Here is a 26,917-nt window from a genome sequence, read left to right on the forward strand (position 1 = left end):
AGCTTTGCACATCTCCAGGTCAGACCTATCCTAATATCTACATCTACATTTCCAGGTAACTAGAAAGTAAATGGCACATATGTTCAAAAATACACTAAATCACTACTATAAAAAAATCAACTTAACACAAAGATACAAAGATACTACTTTTCTTTATCATATGATCCATGTATATTATTTTATTATAATTTCCCGTGTTGGCAATTTTAAGAAGACCAGAGCCACTAAATCATTTCTAGAGGAGTATGGATTATTACGACCTTTATAGAGTAGAATTTGTCTATATAGCTCAGAAGTCTTTAAAATGTGCATACACATCACTATTTCCTGAAGTATGGCTTTATCCTGAAGAGTCCTCCCACTAAAAGACAACTAGAACTTAGATAAGTTAAGACAAACATATTTTTATGGCTAAGCTCACAGAAAGGAAAAGAAATCTCGAAGTGTGAGGGGGTAGGCAATGAGCTAAAATCTGAGCAGAGAGCCATGAGTAATCAATAAGTGACAGGAAGTTGTTCTGGGAGAAAATACTGATACAAGGCCTAGGATCTGGGAGACCTAAACTTTGAGTCTGTCTCAAGGTTAGGGAGCTGATGTGAGTTTCCTATATTACCCTTAATCCCCCATGGAGCTAAAGTGATCCTAGATGTTAGGGAATTCTGTATAGTGGCAATGCAACCAAATCTTTTCTCAGGGAATATTTCCAACATAAACACTTAGGATTCTTACAGATTAAGTTAAAAAACAGATGATCTTATAAACAAAAATCAAACTACTGTAACTGAGAGTTCTCAGAAACAAAATACAGATTAAGTTTAAAAGAAAATTTGTATGCTGAAATTATCAGATACACAGTATAAACCAACCATATATAAAATGGTTAAAAGATTTTAAAACTGATTATTTCTAATTAACCAAAAAAGGCTACTTAAAATGGCCAAGAAGTATTTAGAACTAAACTAACTTAATCTTTGATATTAAAATAGTATTGAATGAGTAACAGCATATCAGATACAGATGAAAGGGATGATTTGTGAACTTGAAAATAGATTTTAAGAAATTATACAGGATTATCACAAAAGGCATCAAATAAAGACCCTGTATAATGTAGTGATAGAGAAAAAAATTCAAGAATCAGAATAAATTTGAATCACAGCTCTATAAGTAACTAGCGCTGTGACTTTGAGTATGTTACTACCGTCTCTGTACCTCAGTTTCACCATATATTTTTAAATGATGGTTTATGTAAGAATTAAATTTAAAATATTTATATATAATTCTTGAATAAAGTCTGGTAATATTAAGCACTATGGAATAATTATCATTATTAATATGACAGAAGTAAGCCCAAACATACCTATGATATTAAGAAATATGCAGGCTTAATTTACCTCCTAAAAGAAAGAACTTTTCAGATTAACTCCCAAAACATATCTCTATTATATGCTGTGTATGACAGGGACACACTAAATACAAATTTATACCTAAAGATAACAATAGAAGAACGGGCACAGTGGGATACAAAAGAAAAAAAGGGAGAGAGAAAAAGGAAGGAGAGAGGTAAGAAAAAAATGAGTCATGATCATAATATTTGAAAAGGTAACATTCAGAGCTTTTGAAAAAGCATTAAATGTGACATAGAAAAGTAGTTTAAATATACTAAAGGGAACAATTCACAGTAAAGATATGAGTGTTATACATTTCTATGCACCCAATGAGTAAAACAACTTCATGAAGCAGAAAACACAGGAGATGCAAAGACAAACAGGCAGAAACATTTAAATAATAGTAGCTTAATTCTCATGCAGTCCAAGTTCTAGTAAGGTAAAAAGTATAAAGAAGGATTTGTAAGACTTAAATTACATTTTTAATAAAGTAGATTGTATGGAGATCTATAGAGTAGTGAGAACTTTTGTATCTTAAACAGAAAATATGCCTTTTCCAGTGCTCGTGGAAACTTTACTGAAATAGATTATATACTAGATTACAAATATAAATATAATAAAGTCTCAAATAGCAATAATACAGAAAATATTGACCACAAAATAGTAAAAGAAATAATTTCACTGAGAAAGATTTACGAACAAAATCTACTGAGCTAAAGAAAGGATAAAAACAAACAAACACTATAGAATGTCCAGAAAACCTTTATGGGTTGAACTGTGTCCCTGCAAAATGCATCTGTTGAAGTCCAAATAGTACCTCAGAATGAAACCACATTTGTAAACAGAGTTATTTCCAAAGTAATTGTTAAGATGAAGTCATACTGAGATACTTTGAGACCCTAGTATAATATAACTGGTGGACGTATAAAAAGGGGAAGTTTGGTCACAGAGACACACACACAGGGATAATGCCTCATGGGAATGAAGACAAAAATCAGGTGATGCTGCTTCTCCAAACCAACAAGATTGCCAGCAAACTACCAGAAGCTAGAAAGAGGCATGGAACAGCCCTCAGATAGAACCAACCCTGCTGACACCTAATCTTAGACTTCTTGCCTCCAGAACTGTGAAACTATAAATTTCTGTTGTTTAAGCCACATGGTGTTGCAGCACTTTTTGTCCCAACTGGTTGGAAATGTCATTGTTATTTTCCCATTTGTTGACCAAATCTCCAACTGGACTATATGTAAGGATTTAGCGTCCAATAGATGCTCTAAGTATTATTGAATGAATAATTCAAGCATTATGGGAGAGTTAAATTATTCTTAAGGTTTCTTCTAACTCAGCGATTATTTTTCATTTGTTTCTGTGTTTATTTTTTTTGTTTTTATCTGGAGGAATCATCAAGCCTTTCTAAAGCTCCTAATCTGTATGTCTGAAACAAGATCTCAGGAGTCCTTAAAAAATGCATTTTCTTTTAAAATATGAAAACAGTATTAGAAAACACATGTTCTTGCTTAAGAAAATTTATTGAGAAGTTTTTAAAATATAAACATGCAAACCATTAAATACCGAATTCTCCATAAAAGCACACAAAGAAAATTAAGCTCTAAGTGAGAGGGCACTGCTCACTCTTACTCAGACTTTGGTGGGTGGGTGGCGTGAGGTGGGGCAGGGTGGAGTGAGTTGGTCTCCTGTCTCTTTTCAAAACTTTACTCACATGTTTTGAATCTGGTAAAAGGAGATATGAAAAGAGTGTTGGAATAGGCATTTTTCACTTAATAAACTTAAAAATGTCTGTGCTACATTTTAAAGGATGGTAGAAAGAATAATTTTTTAAAAGACAACTCTAGATTGTTCTCTGGCAAAGTGAATCTGTGATACAAAGAGATGAAAGTATGCTGGAAAAAATCATTAAGCTTGCTAATTTGCAGCTTTTTACATAGAAAATAGTGTTCTTTAAGCATTCTTAGTGGAATGAAATAGAAAAAGTATTGTTTGATACCAACCAGCACAGATTTTAAAACACATATTTTTCCTCTCCAAAAAATGTTTCGAGCAATACTACTTTTAAACTATGTGGCAATCCACTAACGAGATGGTTTTAAAACTATGTAGCAACATTAAAAATGCCTAGAGAAATGTCATCCATGGCTTAGTACTAACACAAAAAGTATTATAATATTTTTGTTTTATTTTATTGTATGCAAATATTGTGTATAGTTCTATCATCATATATAGATAATTTTGTGTCTTATATTTTATCACTAGTTAATACTTTTCAATTTTTAGTTCCTTTTTAATTTTTTATAATTAAAAATTAACTTTGAAACATGAAAAGAAGTCTACAAACAATAAATGAACAATATTGAAAAAATTAAAAGAAAAATAAAAAGCGGTTTGTTGGAGATACTTTTAAAATATAAAGATGCAAACCATTAAATACTGAATTCTAATACATAAGTCTAAATACCTACCAAAGCCACAAAGAGATTCCTGAAGGAATAAACATGTAATCTATACTTCATTTAACCATGGCAATATTAAAATGAAAACAAATAAATAAAAAGAACACATGAGAGAGGAAACAATAACAGGCTGAAGATATTCACATATATTTGGAAGGTGGCAAAAGACTGAGGAGAGATAATGACTTATCTTCAGAATCCTATGCTTAGCTAAGACAGCAATGTTAACAGGAAGCAAGCTGCTACTCCAGTGTCCCTGCAAGTCTAGGGATTTTTAGACCCCAGAAAACTCAGAAGCAAGGCCATGGGATAAGACTAAAAACTAGAAGATTTTTATATACTTTAAGACTATGGACTTTAAGAAAGACCATCCCCGCATACTTCCTTCCAAGCATCCAGGTAACAACCTTCTCTAACCCTAACAACAGTTTAATTTCTGGATAAATTAAACTTGATAGACTCTAGGTCTGTGGAAACCAATCACCATAAAGGGAAGAAGAAAAACACTAGTTTAAAAACAGGGAAAATCAACTAAATTATAAACCCTCTTCCTCAACTTGACTATTCACTCCTTGTGTAAAACATTAGTGAAAAAAAAAACACAAACCTGAAATCGCCTGGCTAAAAGAACCACAAATACTGATATTTGGGAGTCTCCCAGATAAATGGCCTTCTTCCTACCCAATAACCTTGCAATGAAATCCACCATTTGGCAAGCCATGTCCATGCATGTAACACCCAATCAACATTGTAGTGTCTCACTAATAAATGTCAATGGACTTCTAATTAGCCAGGCATGGTGGTGGGCACCTGTGGTCCCAGCTACTCGGGAGGCTGAGGCAGGAGAATGGCATGAACCCAGGAGGCAGAGCTTGCAGTGAGCCGAGATCGTGCCACTGCACTCCAGCCTGGGCGACAGAGCGAGACTCCGTCTTAAAAAAAAAAAAAAAATCAATGGACTTCTTACCTCTCCTTACATACTTAAACAAGAGAAAAGAAGAAGCATGTGTCAACACAAAGACTTGTACATGAATATTTGTTGCAGCTTTATTTGTAATAGCCTCAAACTAGAAACAACCCGAAGTCCATTAACAAAATGGCTAAACATTTTGTAATATATTCACACAATGAAACACTACTCCACAATTTAAAATATGCACATGGATACGGAATGCAGATAAATTTCAAAATCATTATGCTATGTAAAAAAAAAAAGTCAGGCAAAAAGGAATACATGCTATACTATCTCATCTGTATAGAATTCTGGAAAATGCAAACAAATCCATAGGAACAAAACACACAGCAGCAGTTACCTGAGGAGTGGGTTGGGGAGTAGAAGGAAATGAGGAAGTGTAACGAGATAAACTAAAAAAGGTTACAAGACAACATTTTAGAAGGATGGAAATGTCTGTTACATTGATTGTGGTGATGGTTTCAGGAGTGTGTGCATTGGCCAAAACCAGTCAAATTATACATTTTAAATATGTGCAGTTTATTGAATTTTGATAATCCCTAAATGAAGGTGTAAAACGACACCAATATAAAAATAAATAAATGGGCCAATAAGGATCATCAGATATTTAAAGAAAGCTCCAATAAGAAATATAAACATCAGAGGGTGGCACCAAGATGGCCGAATAGGAACAGCTCCAGTCTGCAGCTCCCAGTGTGAAGGACGCAGAAGACTGGTGATTTCTGCATTTCCAACTGAGGTACCAGGTTCATCTCACTGGGGCTTGCCAGACAAGTGGGTGCAGCCCACAGAGCTGGGCAGGGCATTGCCTCACCCAGGAAGCACAAGGGGTGGGGGAATTCCCTTTCCTAGCAAAGGGAAGCCATGACAGACAGCACCTGGAAAATCGGGACACTCCCACCCTAATACTGCTCTTTTCCAACAGCCTTAGCAAATGGCACACCAGGAGATTATATCCCGCGGCTGGCTTGGAGGCTCCCACACCCACGGAGGCTCGCTCACTGCTAGCACAGCAGTCTGAGATGGAACTGCAAGGCAGCAGCAAGGCTGGGGGAGGGGCGTCCGCCATTGCTGAGGCTTGAGAAGGTAAACAAAGCAGCTAGGAACTCGAACTCGGTGGAGCCCACCGCAGCTCAAGGAGGCCTGCCTGCCTCTGTAGACTCCACCTCTAGGGGCAGGGCATAGCTGAATAAAAGGCAGCAGAAACTTCTGCAGACTTAAACATCCCTGTCTGACAGCTTTGAAGAGAGTTGTGGTTCTCCCAGCACGGAGTTTGAGATCTGAGAAAGGAAAGACTGCCTCCTCAAGTGGGTCCCTGACCCCTGAGTAGCCTAACTGGGAGGCACCTCCCAGTAGGGGCCGACAGACACCTCATACGGGGGATGCCCCTCTAAGACAAAGCTTCCAGAGGAAGGATCAGACAGCAACATCTGCTGTTCTGCAATATTAGCTGTTCTTCAGCCTCCGCTGGTGATACCCAGGCAAACAGGGTCTGGAGTGGACCTCCAGCAAACTCCAACAGACCTGCAGTTGAGGGTCCTGACTGTTAGAAGGAAAACTAACAAACAGAAAGGACATCCACACCAAAACCCCATCTGTAGGTCACCATGATCAGAGACGAAATGTAGATAAAACCACAAAGATGGGGAGAAACCAGAGCAGAAAAGCTGAAAATTCTAAAAATTAGCGCACCTCTTCTCCTCCAAAGGAACAGAGCTCCTTGCCAGTAATGGAACAAAGCTGGACAGAGAATGACTTTGACGAGTTGACAGAAGAAGGCTTCAGAAGATTGGTAATAACAAACTTCTCCGAGCTAAAGGAGGATGTTTGAACCTATCACAAAGAAGCTAAAAACCTTGAAAAAAGAGTAGACGAATGGCAGTGTAGAGAAAAGACAGTGTAGAGAAGTCCTTAAATGACCTGATGGAGCTGAAAATCATGGCACAAGGACTACGTGACGCATGTACAAGCTTCAGTAGCCGATTTGATCAAATAGAAGAAAGGGTATCAGTGATTGAAGATCAAATGAATGAAATGCAGGGAGAAGAGAAGTTTAGAGAAAAAAGAGTAAAAAGAAATGAACAAAGCCTCCAAGAAATATGGGACTATGTGAAAAGACCAAATCTACGTCTGATTGGTGTACCTGAAAATGACGGGGAGAATGGAACCAAGTTGGAAAACACTCTTCAGGATATCATGCCGGAGAACTTCCCCAACCTAGCGGGGAAGGCCAACATTCAAATTCAGAAAATACAGAGAATGCCACAAAGATACTCCTCGAGAAGAGAAACTCCAAGACACATAATTGTCAGATTCACCAAAGTTGAAATGAAGGAAAAAATGTTAAGGGCAGCCAGAGAGAAAGGTCAGGTTACCCACAAAGGGAAGCCCATTAGACTAACAGTGAGCGGGTCTCTCGGCAGAAACTCTACAAGCCAGTAGAGAGTGGGGGCCAATATTCAACATTCTTAAAGAAAAGAATTTTCAACCCAGAATTTCATACCCAGTCAAACTAAGCTTCATACGTGATGGAGAAATAAAATGCTTTACAGACAAACAAATGCTGAGAGATTTTGTCACCACCATGCCTGACTTACAAGAGCTCCTTAAGGAAGCACTAAACATGGAAAGGAACAACCGGTACGAGCCACTGCAAAAACATGCCAAATTGTAAAGACCATTGGTACTAGGAGGAAACTGCATCAACTAATGAGCAAAATAACCAGCTAACATCATAATGACAGGATAAAATTCACACATAACAATATTAACCTTAAATGTAAATGGGCTAAATGCTCCAATTAGAAGACACAGACTGGCAAATTGGATAAAGAGTCAAGACGCATCAGTGTGTGGTATTCAGGAGACCCATCTCACACGCAGAGACACGCATAGGCTCAAAATAAAGGGATGGAGGAAGATCTACCAAGCAAATGGAAAACAAAAAAAGGCAGGGTTGCAATCCTAGTCTCTGATAAAACAGACTTTAAACCAATAAAGATCAAAAGAGACAAGGCCATTACATAATGGTAACAGGATCAATTCAACAAGAAGAGCTAACTATCCTAAATATATATGCATCCAATACAGGAGCACCCAGATTCATAAAGCAAGTCATTAGAGACCTACAAAGAGACTTAGACTCCCACACAATAATAATGGGAGACATTAACACCCCACTGTGAACATTAGACAGATCAACAAGACAGAAAGTTAACAAGGATATCCAGGAATTAAACTCAGCTCTGCACCAAGCGGACCTAATAGACATCTACAGAACTCTCCACCCCAAAACAACAGAATATACATTCTTCTCAGCAACACATCACACTTATTCCAAAATGGACCACATAGTTGGAAGTAAAGCACTCCTCAGCAAATGTAAAAGAACAGAAATTATAACAAACTGTCTCTCAGACCACAGTGCAATCAAACTAGAACTCAGGATTAAGAAACTCACTCAAAACCGCTCAACTACATGGAAACTGAACAACCTGCTCCTGAATGACTACTGGGTACATAACGAAATGAAGGCAGAAATAAAGATGTTCTTTGAAACGAATGAGAACAAAGACACAACATACCAGAATCTCTGGGACACATTTAAAGCTGTATGTAGAGGGAAATTTATAGCACTAAATGCCCACAAGACAAAGCAGGAGAGATCTTAAATTGACACCCTAACATCACAATTAAAAGAACTACAGAAGCAAGAGCAAACACATTCAAAAGCTAGCAGAAGGCAAGAAATAACTAAGATCAGAGCAGAACTGAAGTAGATAGAGACACAAAAAAACCCTTCAAAAAATAAATTAAGCCAGGAGCTGGTTTTTGGAAAAGATGAACAAAATTGATAGACTGCTAGCAAGACTAATAAAGAAGAAAAGAGAGAAGTGTCAAACAGAAGCAATAAAAAATGATAAAGGGGATATCACCATCGATCCTACAGAAATACAAACTACTATCAGAGAATACTATAAACACCTCTGTGCAAATCAGCTAGAAAATCTAGAAGAAATGGATAAATTCCTGGACTTATACACCCTCCTAAGACTAAACCAGGAAGAAGCTGAATCCCTGAATAGACCAATAACAGGTTCTGAAATTGAGGCAATAATTAATAGCCTACCAACCAAAAAAAGTCCAGGACCAGATGGATTCACAGCCGAATTCTACCAGAGGTAAAAAGAGGAGCTGGTACCATTCCTTCTGAAACTATTCCAATCAATAGAAAAAGAGGGAATCCTCCCTCAGTCATTTTATGAGGCCAGCATCATCCTGATACCAAAGCCTGGCAGAAACACAACAAAAAAAGAGAATTTTAGACCAATATCCCTGATGAACATCGATGCAAAAATCCTCAATAAAATACTGGCAAACCGAATCCAGCAACACATCAAAAAGCTTATCCACCATGATCAAGTTGGCTTCATCCCTGGGATGCAAGGCTGGTTCAACATATGCAAATCAATAAACATAATCCATCATATAAACAGAACCAAAGACAAAAACCACATGATTATCTCAATAGATGAAGAAAAGGCCTTTGACAAAATTTAACAGCTCTTCATGCTGAAAACTCTCAATAAACTAGGTATTGATGGGATGTATCTCAAAATAATATGATCTATTTATGACAAACCCACAGGCAATATCATACTGAATGGGCAAAAACTGGAAGCATTCCCTTTGAAAATGGGCACAAGATAGGGATGCCCTCTCTCACCACTCCTATTCAACATAGTGTTGGAAGTTCTGGCCAGGGCAATCAGGGAAGAGAAAGAAATAAAGGGTATTCAATTAGGAAAAGAGGAAGTCAAATTGTCCCTGTTGCAGAGGACATGATTGTATATTTAGAAAACCCCAACATCTCAGCCCAAAATCTCCTTAAGCTGATAAGCAACTTCAGCAAAATCTCAGGATACAAACTCAGTGTGCAAAATTCACAAGCATTCCTATACACCAATAACAGACAAACGGAGAGACAAATCATGAGTGAACTCCATTCACAGTTGCTTCAAAGAGAATAAAATACCTAGGAATCCAACTTACAAGGGATGTGAAGTACCTCTTCAAGGAGAACTACAAACCACTGCTCAGCAAAATAAAACAGGACACAAACAAATGGAAGAACATTTCATGCTCGTGGATAGGAAGAATCAATGTTGTGAAAATGGCCATACTGCCTGAGGTAATTTATAGATTCAATGCCATCCCCATCAAGCTACCAATGACTTTCTTCACAGAATTGGAAAAAACTACTTTAAAGTTCATATGGAACCAAAAAAGAGCTCTCATTGCCAATACGATCCTAAGCCAAAAGAACAAAGCTGGAGGCATCACACTACCTGACTTCAAACTATACTACAAGGCTACAGTAACCAAAACAGCATGGTACTGGTACCAAAACAGAGATATAGACCAATGGAACAGAATAGAGCCCTCAGAAATAATACCACACATCTACAACCATCTGATCTTTGACAAACCTGACAAAAACAAGAAATGGGGAAAGGATTCCCTATTTAATAAACGGTGCTGGGAAAACTGGCTAGCCATATGTAGAAAGCTGAAACTGGATCCCTTCCTTACACCTTATACAAAAATCAGTTCAAGTGGGATTAAAGACTTAAATGTTATACCTAAAACCATAAAAACCCTAGAAGAAAACCTAGGCCATACCATTCAGGACATAGGCATTGGCAAGGACTTTATGACTAAAACACCAAAAGCAATGGCAACAAAAGCCAAAATTGACAAATGGGAACTAATTGAACTAAAGAGCTTCTGCACATCAAAAGAAACTACCATCAGAGTGAACAGGCAACCTACAGAATGGGAGAAAATTTTTACAATCTACCCATCTGACAAAGGGCTAATATCCAGAATCTACAAAGAACTTAAACAAATTTACAAGAAAAAAAACAAACAACCCCATTAAAAAGTGGGTGAAGGATATGAACAGACACTTCTCAAAAGAAGACATTTATGCAGCCAACAGACACATGAAAAAATGCTCATCATCACTGGCCATCAGAGAAATGCACATCAAAACCACAATGAGATACCATCTCATGCCAGTTAGACTGGCAATCATTAAAAAGTCAGGAAACAACAGGTGCTGGAGAGGATGTGGAGAAATAGGAACACTTTTACACTGTTGGTGGGACTGTAAAGTAGTTCAACCATTGTGGAAGACAGTGGGGCAATTCCTCAAGTATCTTGAACTAGAAATACCATTTGACCCAGCCATCCCATTACTGGGCATATACCCAAAGGAGTATAAATCATGCTGCTATAAAGACACATGCATACGTATGTTTATTGCAGCACTATTCACAACAGCAAAGACTTGGAACCAACCCAAATGTCCATCAGTGATAGACTGGATTAAGAAAATGTGGCACATATACACCATGGAACATTATGCAGCCATAAAAAAGGATGAGTTCATATCCTTTATAGAGACATGGAGGAAGCTGGAAACCATCATTCTGAGCAAAGTATCACAAGGACAAAAAACCAAACACCACATGTTCTCACTCATAGGTGAGAATTGAACAATGAGAACACAGGGACACAGGGTGGGGAACATCACACACACGGGCCTGCCGGGGGGTGGGCGGGGGAGGGATAGCATTAGGAGATATACCTAATGTAAATGACGAGTTGACGGGTGCAGCACACCAACATGGCGCACGTATTCCTATGTAACAAACCTGCACATTGTGCACATGTACCCTAGAACCTTAAGTAAAATAATAAAATAAAAATAAAAAAGAAATATAAACATTAAAAGATATTTTTTAACAAAAGGGATCTGAAGGAAATGAAGACCACAACAGAAGGAGAATTTTGAAAAGAAACCAGAAAAGAGAAAGCTGTAAATAGCATCCTCAGAGATAACGATGGATATTACATCAATGAAACAAAAGCAGGATGCTATAAAAGAAGATTCAGAAAGCAAGATCTCTTGAAAATTAAAAATATGATTGTAGAAGTTGTTTTTTTATGGAAAAGTTGGTAGATTAGGAAACTTCATAGAAGTTAAATAATTAAAGAGATTAAAAATAGTGAAAATATATATAAACACAAGATTAATAAAAGCGTTTTGGGAGAGGAAAGCAGAGAAAATGGAGAGGAGACAAATATCAAGAAAAAATTCAAAAGTACTTTTCAGAACTAAATAACACAAATTTATATATTAAAAGATACACTGAGTTTCCAGCTCAGTCAATAGAAAAAGATCCACACCAAAGCATATCAGCCTGAATTTAAATATATCAGGAATACAGAAAAGATCCTAAGGACTTCTACAGAGAGGTTTTAAACAATGAAATATAAAAAATCAAAAACTGCTTTTCTTTTAGCCACATTAGTGGTTAGAATACAATGAAATAATGCCTTTATAATTCTGAATAAAAATAATGTGTTTAGAACTATGCTCAGAAACAAAAGGTCTCAGTCTTTCATGTGTCCATTCTCAGGAAGCTACTGCAGTATATGTTCCATCAAAATAAGGACATAAATCAAGAAAACTAGAACAGTATTTTTAAAATGGAAGAATGATGGGAGTATTTCTCAATATGAAAGCAAAAGGATAAAAACAACTACGTAGCAATCCTAGAAAGCAGTCAGTTTGGAGAAAAGCAGAAGGTCAGAGGCTATAGGAGAAAGATTTCCATGAGAATGGGCAGTGAGAGGGGAAGTTGGAAATAAGAAGGAAATATTATCATATGAAGAGTGGTCATATCATATTTTATCATTCTCTGAGACAATTTGCAAGCCTAAAACTGAACAATCGAAAAAGAGGCAAATGTTAATTAGAAGAAAAACAAAAGGTTAAATAAAAAAGGAAAATACTCACAGCATATTACTCAGTTCAATAGTAATCAGCATTTAGGTTGTTATAAAATCACGCCATTCATCAGAAATTAATAAAGCTATCAAAGTACCGAGACTACAAGACATAGAAGGCAACTGGAAGGGATTCCTGTTGATCCAACATGGGATAATTTTAATATGAAAAAGACAAAGGAAATCAAAATACATATAAAGTATATTTCAAAAAAATGAAAAAGAAAAATCATATATCTTGCCTTTCATTTAAAACTACCTCAAGGTAATCAAATAGTTAACAAGAGATGTTCTCTTTCATTGAAGAATTTCAACTAATAAATGACAAATGAATGACAGAATTAGACTAGCACTATTTTTCAACCCCTAATAAAAAGGATTTCAGGCAATTATCAGCAAAGATTGCTAAAACCAGTAAATGAAAGGCTGATAGAGAACTCAGAATGAACAACTTGCCTGCTATCTGAACCCACTGATCATTTTTAACCTCATAAAAGATATTATGTACCCCTTGATATAATGCAATAGGAAATAAACAGCATCACGTGAGACATATTCTTACCAAAATAATGGAAGCCGAATCATATCAAGCCTCTAGACCAAACTACAAGTATAGAGGAAATGCAAATGAGAAAGGAACGTGTTAAATGATACCACACGTATGCCATCAGCAAAATCCAGGATGTGGGAAATTCTACACAACAAATGCCCCCATTTTTTAAATATCAGTAATGTGAAAAATAACGGACAGAAAATTGTAAATTAAAGAGTCACACAGAGCAACCAAATGCAATCTTGTTTAGATCCTGAATCCAACAAACCAGTTAAATTTTTTTTTTTGTAGACAACTGGAAAACGTGAATGCTGAATGAATATTTATATTAAGGAATTCCCATAAATTGTATGTTTAGATGGGATAATGGTTTCAGAGCTATGTTCTATAAAATGTCCTTATCTTTTATAGCACTAAAAAATGTACAGTTAAAATTATGTGATCTCTAGGATTTGTTTTAAATAATACAGTGGGAGGTGGGAGGAAAGTAGGTAGGAATATAGAGTGAGCAAGATAGATCATTTGTTGATAATTGTTCTAATTTTATATACATTTGAAAGTTCCCAAAAGAAACACTTTAAAATGTAAATAGAAAAAAGATGTACACCTAATATTGATATAATTCAAAAAATTTATTAAACTATTTTACGATAGTGATAGAGAAGAAAAGTGAGGAGAGCTGAATCTTCTTCTTCTAATATGGGATATCAACATATAAAATGTAAATTTAATAAATCAAGAGTGTCCAGAGAAGTAAATATTTTTGAAATGTAGAAACAGCTAAAATAAAGAAATGTAGAAACACCTAAAATAGTTAAAACTGTGTGGAGAGCAAAATTTATGGGTGGGCAGAATTAAGGCAAGGAACTACTGTGTTTATTATTAGTCTTCTAATACCATTTGAACACATACAAATTTGATAAAATGTAAAAATTATTTTTAAAATGATATATAAAACATCTTTTACTTTTAAAATGTGATAGGAAGAAGATTAATACATATTATGAATTATATCCTGACACTCATGTTTATCTTCAATCTCTTCTCATTTCTTCCCTTTATTCATGTCATTGTCAAAGCATGTTATGATTATGAATATGACTTGGAGTCATTTACTTCTCTAACTCCTCAGCAACCACCCTGGTCTAAGGCCTCATGATCTCACTGACATCGTCTGCTAATAGATTTCCTGTTTTTACTCTTGCCACCCTCTAATTCATTCCACAAATATCCTGGGACAGGCAGATGAGAATTTGTCTTTCACTCTGCACTTAATAGCTCTTTCACCTTAAGCAAGTCACTTATGTTCTTTGAATCTCAGTTTCACTATCTATAAATTAGAGCAGATGATAACCACCGTAGAGGTGTGAAGATGAAGTGAGATATCACATATTATTCCACATCCAGACTGATGTTTTAAAGTTGCGGGACAGTTTTTCTCCAACTGTAGTGTGTATGCAATTGCTAAGGAAAGATCATTTTTGAAATGCAGATTTTGATAGAGTGGATCCAAGGTGGGGCCTGAGATTCTGCATTTCTAATAAGCTCCCAGGTGATGCAAAAGCTGCCAGCACCTCATTCACACTTTGACTTAGCAAGGCTAGAGGGGATACCAAGATAAGTGACAGTGATGCTTGTCCTTTAGAAAGGAGATTATGCCCTTGTAAAGATAATCTAAATATCCACATACCTTCACTTTCATTAGTGCTACAGGGAGCATGTAAACTCTGAAGCTATTTGAGATTGGGATAGATGTTGATTTTACTAAACATTATACGAGACAGACCAGCATAAGGTCACATCTGGCTATAACAAAATCATTCAAGGTGTTGTAACAAGATATACAACTTAGAGAAAGCAATTAGCAATTTAGAATATGAAAATATAGATCATTTTTAACAAAAAAACAAATATCCTGGATCAGACAGATAAGAATTTGTCTTTCATTCTGCTCCTGAGTAGCTCTGTAACCTTAAGCAAGTCACTTATATTCTTTGAATCTCATTTTCATTATCTATAAATTAGGGCAAATAATAACCACCGAAGAGGTGCAAAGATGAAGTGGGATATCGCATATCAATTTTATGACTGTGCCTGACATATGATAGTCCTTATAAAATACCAGGTCTTCCTTTTCTTTTTTTTTTATTATACTTTAAGTTTTAGGGTACATGTGCATAACGTGCAGGTTTGTTACATATATATACATGTGCCATGTTGGTGTGCTGCACCCATCAACTCGTCATTTAACATTAGGTATATCTCCTAATGCTATCCCTCCCCCCTCCCCCGACCCCACAACAGGCCCTGGTGTGTGATGTTCCCCTTCCTGTGTCCATGTGTTCTCATTGTTCAATTCCCACCTATGAGTGAGAACGTGCAGTGTTTCGATAGAAGATTTTCCTTATAACATTAGGGTAAGAGAGGATCCATTTTGAATGTTATGTTTGGCACCCTTAACATCTTAGAGAAACAAAAAAGGTTATGAAAATAGAATAAATAACAATGTAGGTAATAAGCAAGTATTTTTGTCTAAATGAACACTAGACCATGAGTCATAAAGCTAAGCTTTGGTCCAGGATTCAGCATTAACTAGATGTTTGATGTTGAACTTTATTTAATGTCACTGGCCCTGGTATGCTTTCTACATCACTGTATTTAACGCAGAACAGGTGAGACCCAAACTGGGGCTTAGCCCTCAAGGGTTCTTGGCTTTGTTCATGAAAGAGTTCAGGGGCAAGTTGGAGGTAGAAGAAAACAGCTTTATTGAAGAGGCGGTGTTACAGCTCTGGCATTTATAACTCTGTGACTGCTCCTGCAGGGCAGGGCTAACCCATATGCAGAGAGTAGCAGCTTACGGCGGTTTTGCAGTCATATTTATACCCACTTTTAACTACATGCAGATTAAGGGATGGTTTATGCGGAAATTTCAAGGGAAGTGGTAGTAATTTTTGGGTCATCTGGTCATTGCCCTGGAAAGAGGCAGTAACTCCTGGGTGTTGTTATAGCAATGGTAAACTGACATGGCACACTAGGGGGCGTGTCTTATGGAAAGCTGCTTTCCATTGGCCCTGTTTTAGCTAGTTCTCAATTTGGTCTGGTGTTCAAGCCCTGCCTCTGGAGTCTAGTCCTGCCTCCTACCTCATATTCACCTTGTTAAGTACATTATCTTCTTACGGAAATGCATTATCCTTCCATTTCTTTTGATTTTTTTTCTTTTGGAATATCAGTAAATTTCACAGAAATATTAAAATTGTAGAATCATTGAATAATTAGAACAAGGATTCTAAACAAGTTTCTTTCCTCCTGAAATCTCTACCAAACACCTTCAAACAATGTTACAAAGCTTTTAAGAAGTATATGAAATCAATGAACTAATGTTTCTAGTTAGAGAACTTCAATTTTTTTAAGATTACACAGGCATGCACATTTTCACTGACAATTGAAATTTATTTGCTTTACATGACACTAAGTTGTTCTATTAATAACTAAGATACCAAATATAATTTAGAAATACAAAAAAAGAGGATGGGTGCGGTGGCTGACGCCTGTAATCCCAGCACTTTGGGAGGCAGAAGTGGGCGGATCACCTGAGGTTGGGAGTTCGAGACCAGCCTGACCAACATAGAGAATCCCCGTCTCCACTAAAAATACAAAATTAGCCATACATGGTGATGCATGCCTGTAATCCCAGCTACTCTGTAGGCTGAGGCAGGAGAATCACTTGAACCCGGGAGGCACAGGTTACAGTGAGCCGAGATCGCACCCTTGTACTCCAGCCTGGGCAACAAAGAGTGAAACTTCATCTCAAAAAAAAAGAAAAAAAAAGAAAGAGAGAAAGAAATACAAGAAAAAGAAAAAGCAATTTGGAGAAAATTTTAAAAAGCAAATCATTTTAAAAGACAAACTACAAAGTACTGTGTGAGCTAAGCCATTCATAATGTTCTCATGGAGCTAATGGGAAACAAATCTGTTCTTTCAAAATAATTGTAAAATTTCTGTGTAAGAATGAATGGAAAAGGTCATCCAAAAACTACTTGACTACATATACCTATGGATCTCTATCTAAGTGCTGAAAAATGAATTTTTTTATTCATTTGGTTATGTAGCATTTGTTCATTCTAATTTTGTTTTGTTCCCTGTCATATCTCTGGTACCTAGAATAATCCCTACCACAGAGTAGGTCTTCCATTACTCTTATGCTTTTAAATCTCCCCTCACCTCATTGTAAATGACTTTTGATTTCTCTTTTATGCCCTTTTTATACACCTTTCCCTTATATCTCCATTTATTCCTGAAGCTTCATGGGATTCAGCCATTGAGGTCACTTGGGTTTAGATATACCAAAAGTCTGTGATTTCTCTGTTTGCATATATGCACATTTGTTGTTATCCTTACCCTTTTCTATCAGTTCCTTACCATAACATACACTTAATTCTTGGAAATTCACTCATGTCTTACAAAGATGGCAAATTCAAACTTCTGCTGTGTATGACACACCATTAACTGCACAAGGACACTGTGTATTTGCTACGTTAATATTTACTGATGAGTTAATGTAATAATGACCCATCCGCTTCTGCTGCCTGTGAGGTACTTTCTATCTATAGGGATGGAAATTAATGACAGAGGCTCTCTGAGCTGCCTGATGTCAGAGCTGAGAAAGGTGTGAGGGGTATATAAGAGCTGGATTACTAGTTAGCAAATGAGGGGGTAAATATTCCAGTGGATACAAGCTTGGACTCTTTTCTTGAAGCTTTCTTTCTATCAGAAGCATTTGCTGATATTGCTGACATTGAAACATTAAAAGGTAAAGAATTTCCTATTTCTGGGAAAGTTTTATTTATTTAGAGAAATGCACACTTGGTGTTAAATTCATGGTTTATTTCAAAGAAAGGCTAAAGGGAGAATGTATTACAATATAAATGTTCAGATTGCTTAGAGAAGGAAATTGGGAAAGTAAAAATCTCGAAATTACTTGAAAAGTGGACAATATTAAGGGACTGTATCAATAAAAATTTTGATCCTTGTAAATTACGTTTTAAAAAGATGTTTCTTTTAAAAACTAAGCTCTAATTTAAAATTACATCAATTAGAACTGTAAGAAATCTCTTGATTTCAGTGCTGGATTATTCTTTGCAGAAAATTTGAGAAGCAATGGGCATCCTGAAGCTGCAAGTATTTCTCATTGTGCTCTCTGTTGCATTGAACCATCTGAAAGCTACACCCATTGAAAGGTTGGTAACTTTAAAATCCTGTTTCTTTGTAACTTTTGTAAAGTGTGAGAAAATTAGAATTAAATACTGTCAAATAACTACAGCCTTAGATTTCTGACTATATCATACTTAAGAACAGTACCTTCAGCTATTCCATTGTTCCTTGAATTCTGTGTTCTTTAAAGAATAACACCAGTGGCAAATAAATATCTTTGATGGAACTTCTGACAGACAGGAATGGATAATTCCAGTTTTGTCAAGAAATATACTCTTGGAACTTAGAGGGGCAAAGCCAGAACATGAAGCGGGAAAAAAATCAAAAGGTAGTAATTTCTTCTATATTAACCTGATACTGAAACAAACCAGAGAAACTTAACTAAAGCATATATTTTTATACCAAGTGGATTCTTTTTGTATATATTACTTAGATTTTTGTTTTCCTCAGATGTCTCTGGAAATGTTAAAAACTTTTACATCTTGTGGAAATGGAAATGTATAGAAATAATCAGGAGCAAATTAATGTTTTTAAGAAATGAAATCTAAAAGAAGTAGTTAAAAAGCCATTTGCTGTTGGGGGATTTATTCTATATTGCTAGCTAGCTATTCTGTGAGTGAAACAGATTTATAAAAAGTTATTCTTCTTATTACTTCTAAGCTGCTATAAACTTAATACTTTTTAAAATTACTTTCAGTAGGTAGCATGTATGTCAGGATTTCCTGGGAAGTCTTATTACGAAAGGTTTCATGTCATTTAAATGGTAATTAAGGACATCTAACAACTATGTCACGTAAAACTCTTAGAGTAGTTAAAATTTTCAAACTGAGATTTTAAAACTGTAATTTATTTAAAGGGTTATTAAGTTCAAATATGTGCATAAGTCATAAATAACATAGTGAGGATTTGTTTGTGCCTAAATTAGTTTTGCTCCATATAGTCTTATGGGACTGAACTTACACACTCTTTAACACCAAGGAGAATTAAGTTTACCTTTGTAAAGAGTGTGCATGTCATATTATAATTCTTCTCATTAGAATGATCGTCATCTTGTCTTTGTTTTCCTTCGAGGTAGTTTTTCTTGGAAGCCCATAGCAATATGCAAAGATTTCTACAGCACCTACGTATAATAAATAGCAAGAATCATTATCAGAGGCTTTTTGTCATTTCAAGGCTTATTTAGTTTACAGGGTGTTCTTCTCAGAACTGACTGTAATTTTCTATTTGCTTTTTCATAAAAATAACTTTTAAAATGACATGAAGTTTCTGATAAGCAGAATATCTGAATGATGACAGGAAAATCAGTAGTATTTCCTAGTATATCTGTTTATATCTTGATACTTTCTTTCAATAGATATAGAAATTTACTAAGCACTTTTACCCTCTCTTTTTTTTATTTTATTTTGAGACAGGGTCTCTCTCTCTCTCTCTCTCTGTCTCTGTCACCCAGGCTGCTGGAGCACAGTGGTACAATCATGGCTCACTGTAGCCTTGACATTCTAGGCTCAGGTGATCCTCCCACCTCAGCCTCCCAAGTAGCTGGGACCACAGGCACCTGCCACCATACCCAGCTAATTGTTTTATCTTTATTTTATAGGGAAAGGGTCTCCCTATGATGCCCAGGCTGGTGTCAAACTCCTGGGCTCAAGCCTTCCTCCTGCCTCAGTCTTCCAAAATTCTGGGATTATAAGAGTGAGCCACTGAACCCAGACCATTATGTTTTTATAGATGTTTGTTTATTATGAGAGAAACTTCACTTAGAAATAGAGCAATATGTAATATAATATTACTTGTTATAAAATTATTTTGATGTTAGTCTCACAATCTTTAACTTTGAATTATTAGAAATCTTGTAAAACATTCTTCAAATTGCTTTTTAATATGTTGCCTGAAATGAGTATGTTTGAACATTTGTTAAAGGGAGTATGATTTGTCATGCTGAGATGTTAAATCATGTACTATTCTACATATCTCACAGAAAGCTAGGAAAATCTATGGGGAAAATGTGTCAAATTTTAAACTCTTTTTAAAAAATAAAACTAACATTATTCAATGTCATTTTCCTCACAAAATTTAATCATCTCATTTGAGATTTTTTCAATTTGTAAATGTATGAAATAGGATAAAAGGATCACATACTTTCCCACCAACTTTTTTACACTCCCTTGTAAATATCTGCCTGGCAGGTAATCAAAGGATAGTTAAAAATATAATTACATAGATGCCAAGATGCAATCACTAGGATCTCCCTGCAGGAGCTCACATACTTCCACAGATGAATGTTAAGGCTGAGAGCAGGGACTCACTTTAAAGTCATTTTGAAAACTCTGGAGAGACAATTTAAAAGAGAGGCAATTTAAGAGTTATACTTTGGCTTATTGTCATCTCTGTTTAAACTCTCTTAAAGTCAAGAATTTCCATGTGTGTATGTGCCTGTAAGTGGTCTACAGCTTTAATGTTTGTTACTAGCTCGTATGTTACCTGTCCAGGTAGTCAATGAGAAAAAAATGCCTGAAACCAGGGAGGTAATGCCTTTTATTAACCATTTCAGACAACTTTTTCCATCCTAAAGATTGCTTTAGATAGAATCTTATATATACTGAATAGTATATTTAGATGAAAAGTCTTTTTTAGAAAAGCAATTTCACAAATATGATAAAAACATAAATGCTTTTACTATTTCTTCTAAGTGGAATGATGGCCCATCTAGCTAACTCAAATAAGGTAACATTTTATTTAGAACAATTTTAAATTATATTATTGACCTTCCAACCAATTATCAAAATACCACTCAGCATTTAGCATATAAAGTATTTCACACTGTGCTTCAGTCATATGCTAAACATATCTTGGAACAGATATTACCTTTGAATCTTCTCAATTTGACCCATAATTTTCCTTTATTACTTTTTTTGAGATGTTTGGACCAAATTCCAATTTTTACTGTTTTTCAAGAAAAGTAAGTATTTTAGAATTCAATGCAAATGTATGAAATTACTAGTTCAATCCTTAAAGCATAAATCACTCTTTTGAAATGTACATTGGTCATATTTATGGTACCTTCAAAAATAAATAATTGAACAGATAGTGTGAATGAGATTGATATAGGTTAAATAATTAGATCCCAAAGTGGTTTTCTTTGCCCAGATAATTTGTTCAAACATTTGTCAGCATACACTTACATTCAACAAGTATCCAGTTCACCTAATGCTGTAAGAAGTTTTCTGTACTTAGGAAGAAATATGGGAGTAAAATTTAAAAAAAAAACAGTTTCACATGAGATTATTAAATATTTACTCTTAGGCTATCTCTACTTAGAGATAGAGATAATGAAATACTCCCCACACAAGGTAAACACAATGAGATAAATCCATTGCATTTGAGTCCCAGATTATGCATATCCACTGGCTCCTGGACATTGAGTTTTTAGCCCTATAACTATTTCATTTTCCATTTACCCTAAGTTTCACCAATATTTTGATTTCTATGGAGCTGAAAACTAAAACATTTCTCTAACTTTCCTAATAATCAGCAAAGAGGAAGCAATGTTATTATTCTGCATCCATTTCCGATATCGTTTTAAAAGCACATTGAAACAAAAGGCTGTCAAAAAAATAGAGTTGGTATACAAATAAATGTCTTAAATAAAAACATAAGTTAAAATTAAATGAATTATTTAATGTGTGGTTATGATTTCTGAGTTTATAAGTATTATTATGCACTTCTTCCAGGTGGCTAGAAAAATGTGATGAATATTAATACCATTGACATAAAAAGTCTTTTGGTTTTAACATTTAACCTAGTCTTATCATTAAAATTCTTGAAAGCATAAGATCCAAGCAGGAAAATGTATTTATGCTAAAAGTAATAAAACTCTCACACTGCAATAGAGTACCTGAACAGGTGATAGATTTGATTCTTTTGGAGACTTTATGATATTCTCTTTTTTTGACATACTTTTTATGACATTATTTTTTACTTTATTATATTTCATTTTATTGTTTTAAGAACAAAGCATGATATCTACCCTTTTAACAAATTTTTAAGCATGCAATACATTATTCTGGATTATGTGCAAAATGTTGGGCAGCAGATCTCTAGAGCTTAGTCATCTTGCTTGACTGAAGCTGTACACCCAATGGTTAGTAACTCCCTATTTCCCCCTCTCCCTTGCCCCTGATAACCACCATTCCACTCTTTAACTCATGAATTTGACTATTTTAAATACTTCATATACATGGAACCAAGTGGTATTTATCTTTCTATGACTAGCTTCTTTCACTCAACCTAATGTCCTCAAGGTTCATCCGTGTGTTGCATATTGCAGAATTCCCTTATGACATTTCTTGCATAACACTCCTGATTCAATTATCTCAAGGAACTTAAAGACTAAGTAATGCTGCTTTATTCTTATTGGAAAGATGTAGAAATAATTATTTTTAAATTTCTTCATATTTCAGATTACATATAAATTTTACCTTCTAAATTCTTTTTATATATTAAAAATAAATTCTTCAAGATTTTTAAAAATGTAAGACAAAGACACTGTTATTTTGATTATATGTAATATATTCTGAATTTCCAAAGGAAGACTTTTAACTGAGAAATGCAACATTGACTGTAATGAAAGATGTTGTATGATTTTCAATTGTTATTTCAAGGTGTCAAAAAAAAATCTCAGCCATCTAGGTGTTTGCAAACCAAAACACTGAGTTACTTATGTGAAAATTGTTTCTTTGGTTTTCATCAATACAAGATATTTGATGTCACATGGCTGGATCCAGCTAAAATTCTAAGGCTCTAACTTTTCACATTTGTTCCATGTTACCAGTCATCAGGTGGAAAAGCGGAAATGCAACACTGCCACATGTGCAACGCAGCGCCTGGCAAATTTTTTAGTTCATTCCAGCAACAACTTTGGTGCCATTCTCTCATCTACCAACGTGGGATCCAATACATATGGCAAGAGGAATGCAGTAGAGGTTTTAAAGAGAGAGCCACTGAATTACTTGCCCCTTTAGAGGACAATGTAACTCTATAGTTATTGTTTTATGTTCTAGTGATTTCCTGTATAATTTAACAGTGCCCTTTTCATCTCCAGTGTGAATATATGGTCTGTGTGTCTGATGTTTGTTGCTAGGACATATACCTTCTCAAAAGATTGTTTTATATGTAGTACTAACTAAGGTCCCATAATAAAAAGATAGTATCTTTTAAAATGAAATGTTTTTGCTATAGATTTGTATTTTAAAACATAAGAACGTCATTTTGGGACCTATATCTCAGTGGCACAGGTTTAAGAACGAAGGAGAAAAAGGTAGTTTGAACCTTGGTAAATTGTAAACAGCTAATAATGAAGTTATTCTTGACATGAGAAAATCAGTAATTGGACCAGGCGCGGTGGCTCTTGCCTGTAATCCCAGCACTTTGGGAGGCCGAGGCAGGCAGATCACAAGGTCAGGAGTTCGAGACCAGCCTGACCAACATGGTGAAACCCTGTCTCTACTAAAAATACAAAAATTAGCCGGGGGTGGTGACATGTGCCTGTAATCCCAGCTACTCAGGAGGCTAAGGCAGGAGAATCGCTTAAACCCAGGAGGCGGAGGTTGCAGTGAGCCGAGATTGCACCACTGCACTCCAGCCTGGGTGGCAGAGTGAGACTCGTCTCAAAAAAAAGAAAGAAAATTAGTAATTGTAAGTACCCCTGATAAGCAAATTAGTAATTGTCAATACCCCTGTTAAGCAATTCCTTTTTGCAGTATATTTCTGAAATGACAGAATGCTGTTTTAAAAACAAAGAAATAAAATCCTGCTCCTGACTCGGTCAAAATATTTTTTAAAGTCTATTGTTTGTTGTGCTTGCTGGTACTAAGAGGCTATTTAAAAGTATAAAACTGCTTTGTATCCATGAGGGTTTCATTGTGTGTTAGCAGCAGTGAGCTTCTATTAAATGTATATGTCATTTATTTTGTTTAAGTGGCTTTCAGCAAACCTCAGTCATATTCTTATGCAGGGTATTGCGAAACAACTTGTGTTCTATTAATCGTGTCTTCAATTAAAAGACCACAGACTTCTGGAAACTCTTTGCTGTATAAGAATTATTTCTTTTGTTTAACAAATTAGACATTTCTGGCAGAGGTTATGTATATGATACACTTTTTTTGATAGCAGCTGCAATGTTGGACAGAAGATGAAATGCTTTGCTTTGAGTCAGATTCTTATGAATATCTGCTTTTCCCTGACTTTGAGTTAGGTAGCTTTGGAAGTAGCATTAATTCAGATAAACTGCCATCATGCTGCGTTATGCCATTTCTAAAGACACTCAACTTGTACTTTTAAAAAAATAGAAAAAATAAGCATTTCAATCTAAGTGGAAATTTGACTCATTGACTTACATTTCTAAGTTAAAATTTCCCTTTATGAAGTGTGCCTTAGGTTACCAAATTGTAGAGGCTTTCGTTGGTGGTGGTAAGTGGTAGCGGTAGTGAGTGTATAGAGGCAGGGAAATATATTTATAATAAATTCTATGTCATGAATTACATATTGAAATAAATAGGTGAATATACAAATTTATATTTGTGATGCTCAATTGTTGGTCCTTCTTTCAAAGTGGCCTCAAACCCAATATTTCAAATTGAATAAGGTACAATTAAATTATAATCTCTCAAACTTATTTGAAAAATTTCCCACAATAGTCTACAGTTTTATTGCATATCACACCTATATATGATATAAATAGGTATAACAAAATATGTAATTTATAATATGTCAAGTTATAATATCAACATTATATTTAGGTTTATAAATATTACATATATGGATTTGTTATTTAACATTATAATTTATTTCAATTCCCCCATCTCTCTTTCTAGTGTTAACAAAATTTTAATGAGTGCATATCATGTTCAAGGACATTGCCTATGGTAGCATACAATTCCCAGGAATTAAACAAGAAGAATTATGAATAGTAACCCAACAACCTCTGGTGCTAGAGATTAAAACATAGTTAGAGTGACTCTATAACACAAAGGTTATTATATGGATACAGCAGATATTAATCGAAGATTTTATTCTGAAGTTTATTCATTCAATTTCTTACGAAAGTGAAACATTTAAACAAATTCAGCATTATTTCCTTAGTTAGGTTGGTATTTGCAGCTCAGTAAGGAATCAAATACATAAAGACTGAGAATACATTACTGCCAGGGAGCTTACTGAGTGTATTCTCTGGTTTCTCACAACTACTTTGGGAAAAAAATAATGAGAATAACTAAATTATTGTAATTGGAGGTACCAACAGTAAAATTTTGGTGACTACGTTTATCTTAACCTTTCTCATTGTGTCTAGGTACATGAAATCATAGGTACCCTTGAGTAACCTGAGTGAGTTAGGCTTCCAAGTGCTAGAATGGGTAGCTAGGCAACCATGAGCAGGGAAGAGAGGGCCCCCCAACCCAACCCACACCCCCATGCCCCCACTGCCCCAGCCCCCGACCAAGAATTATCAGGCGACTATCAGCTGATGGTCAGGTGATTGTTAAATTGTCTCTCTAAAATAATAACTGGTCGTAGCCAGCACCAGAGAAAGGTAGACTCCCAATAGGTAGAAAACACCTAAAACTGATGATCGGCAGCTTCCAGATAAGATCTCAGAAGTTGGGTGAGTGGGCTTAAGTATGTACACTATGAGAAAAAATGACAGAGTTTAACTGGTATATGATCCCAAAAATAAATGCAACAAAAACAAAAATAAATAAATGGGATGTAATTAAACTAAAAAGCTTCTGCACAGCAGGAGAAATAATAAACAGAGTAAACAGACAACCCACAGAATCGGAGAAAATATTTGCAAACTACCCATCCGATAAAGAACTAGTATCCAGAATCTAAAAGGAACTCGAACAAATCAGCAAGAAAAAAATAAATAATCCCATTGAAAAGTGGGCAAAGGACATGAATAGACATTTACTTAAAAAAAGATATACAAATGGCCAACAAACATGAAAAAAATGCGCAACATCACTAATCATCAGGGAAATGCAAATCAAAACCACAGTGAGATACCACCTTACTCCTGCAAGAATGTCCATTATTAAAAAGTCAAAAAACAGGCTGGGCGTGGTGGCTCACAGCTGTAATCCCGGCACTTTGGGAGGCTGAGGCAGGCAGATCATGAGGTCAGGAGATGGAGACCATTCCGGCCAACATGGTGAAATCCCATCTCTACTAAAATACAAAAAATTAGCCGGGCATGGTGGCATGTGCCTGTAGTCCCAGCTACTTGGGAGGCTGAGGAAAGAGAATCACTTGAACCCGGGAGGCAGAGGTTGCAGTGAGCCAAGATCATGCCACTGCACTCCAGCCTGGCTACAGAGCGAGACTCCGTCTCAAAAAGAAAAAAAAGAAAAAAGTAGAAAAACAATAGATATTCGTGTAAATGTGGGGAAAAAGAAATGCTTACACAATGCTA

At 35.6% G+C, this 26,917-nt stretch overlaps 2 protein-coding genes across 9 annotated transcripts in view; one reads left to right on the forward strand and one right to left on the reverse strand.

Moving 5' to 3' along the window:
* IAPP (islet amyloid polypeptide) lies at positions 1 to 25,022 on the forward strand. Of its 2 annotated transcripts, none has more exons than NM_001329201.2 (3): positions 1 to 55; positions 18,379 to 18,473; positions 23,279 to 25,022. In NM_001329201.2, the coding sequence occupies exons 2-3, from the start codon at positions 18,394 to 18,396 to the stop codon at positions 23,466 to 23,468; spliced, it is 270 nt and encodes an 89-aa protein (NP_001316130.1). In that variant the 5' UTR covers positions 1 to 55; positions 18,379 to 18,393; the 3' UTR covers positions 23,469 to 25,022. The 2 variants fall into 2 exon arrangements, with proteins under 2 accessions (NP_001316130.1, NP_000406.1); NM_000415.3 differs by lacking the exon at positions 1 to 55 and adding an exon at positions 17,944 to 18,046.
* The window catches only part of SLCO1A2 (solute carrier organic anion transporter family member 1A2), a 155,035-nt gene that overhangs the window by 90,359 nt on the left and 37,759 nt on the right, over positions 1 to 26,917 (reverse strand). For 2 of the 7 annotated variants that reach the window (XM_024449138.2, NM_134431.5), the window contains exon 2: positions 19,441 to 19,567. The exons of 4 other annotated variants lie outside the window; for them this stretch is intronic. The gene's annotated coding sequence lies outside the window, so the exon portion shown is untranslated. Of the gene's footprint in view, positions 1 to 5,704; positions 5,940 to 19,440; positions 19,568 to 26,917 lie in introns of those variants that run through there. One more of the 7 variants, NM_001386882.2, reaches the window with a different exon arrangement.

The sequence above is a fragment of the Homo sapiens genome, chromosome 12 (genome assembly GCF_000001405.40).
Source record: "Homo sapiens chromosome 12, GRCh38.p14 Primary Assembly".
NCBI lineage: Eukaryota > Metazoa > Chordata > Mammalia > Primates > Hominidae > Homo > Homo sapiens.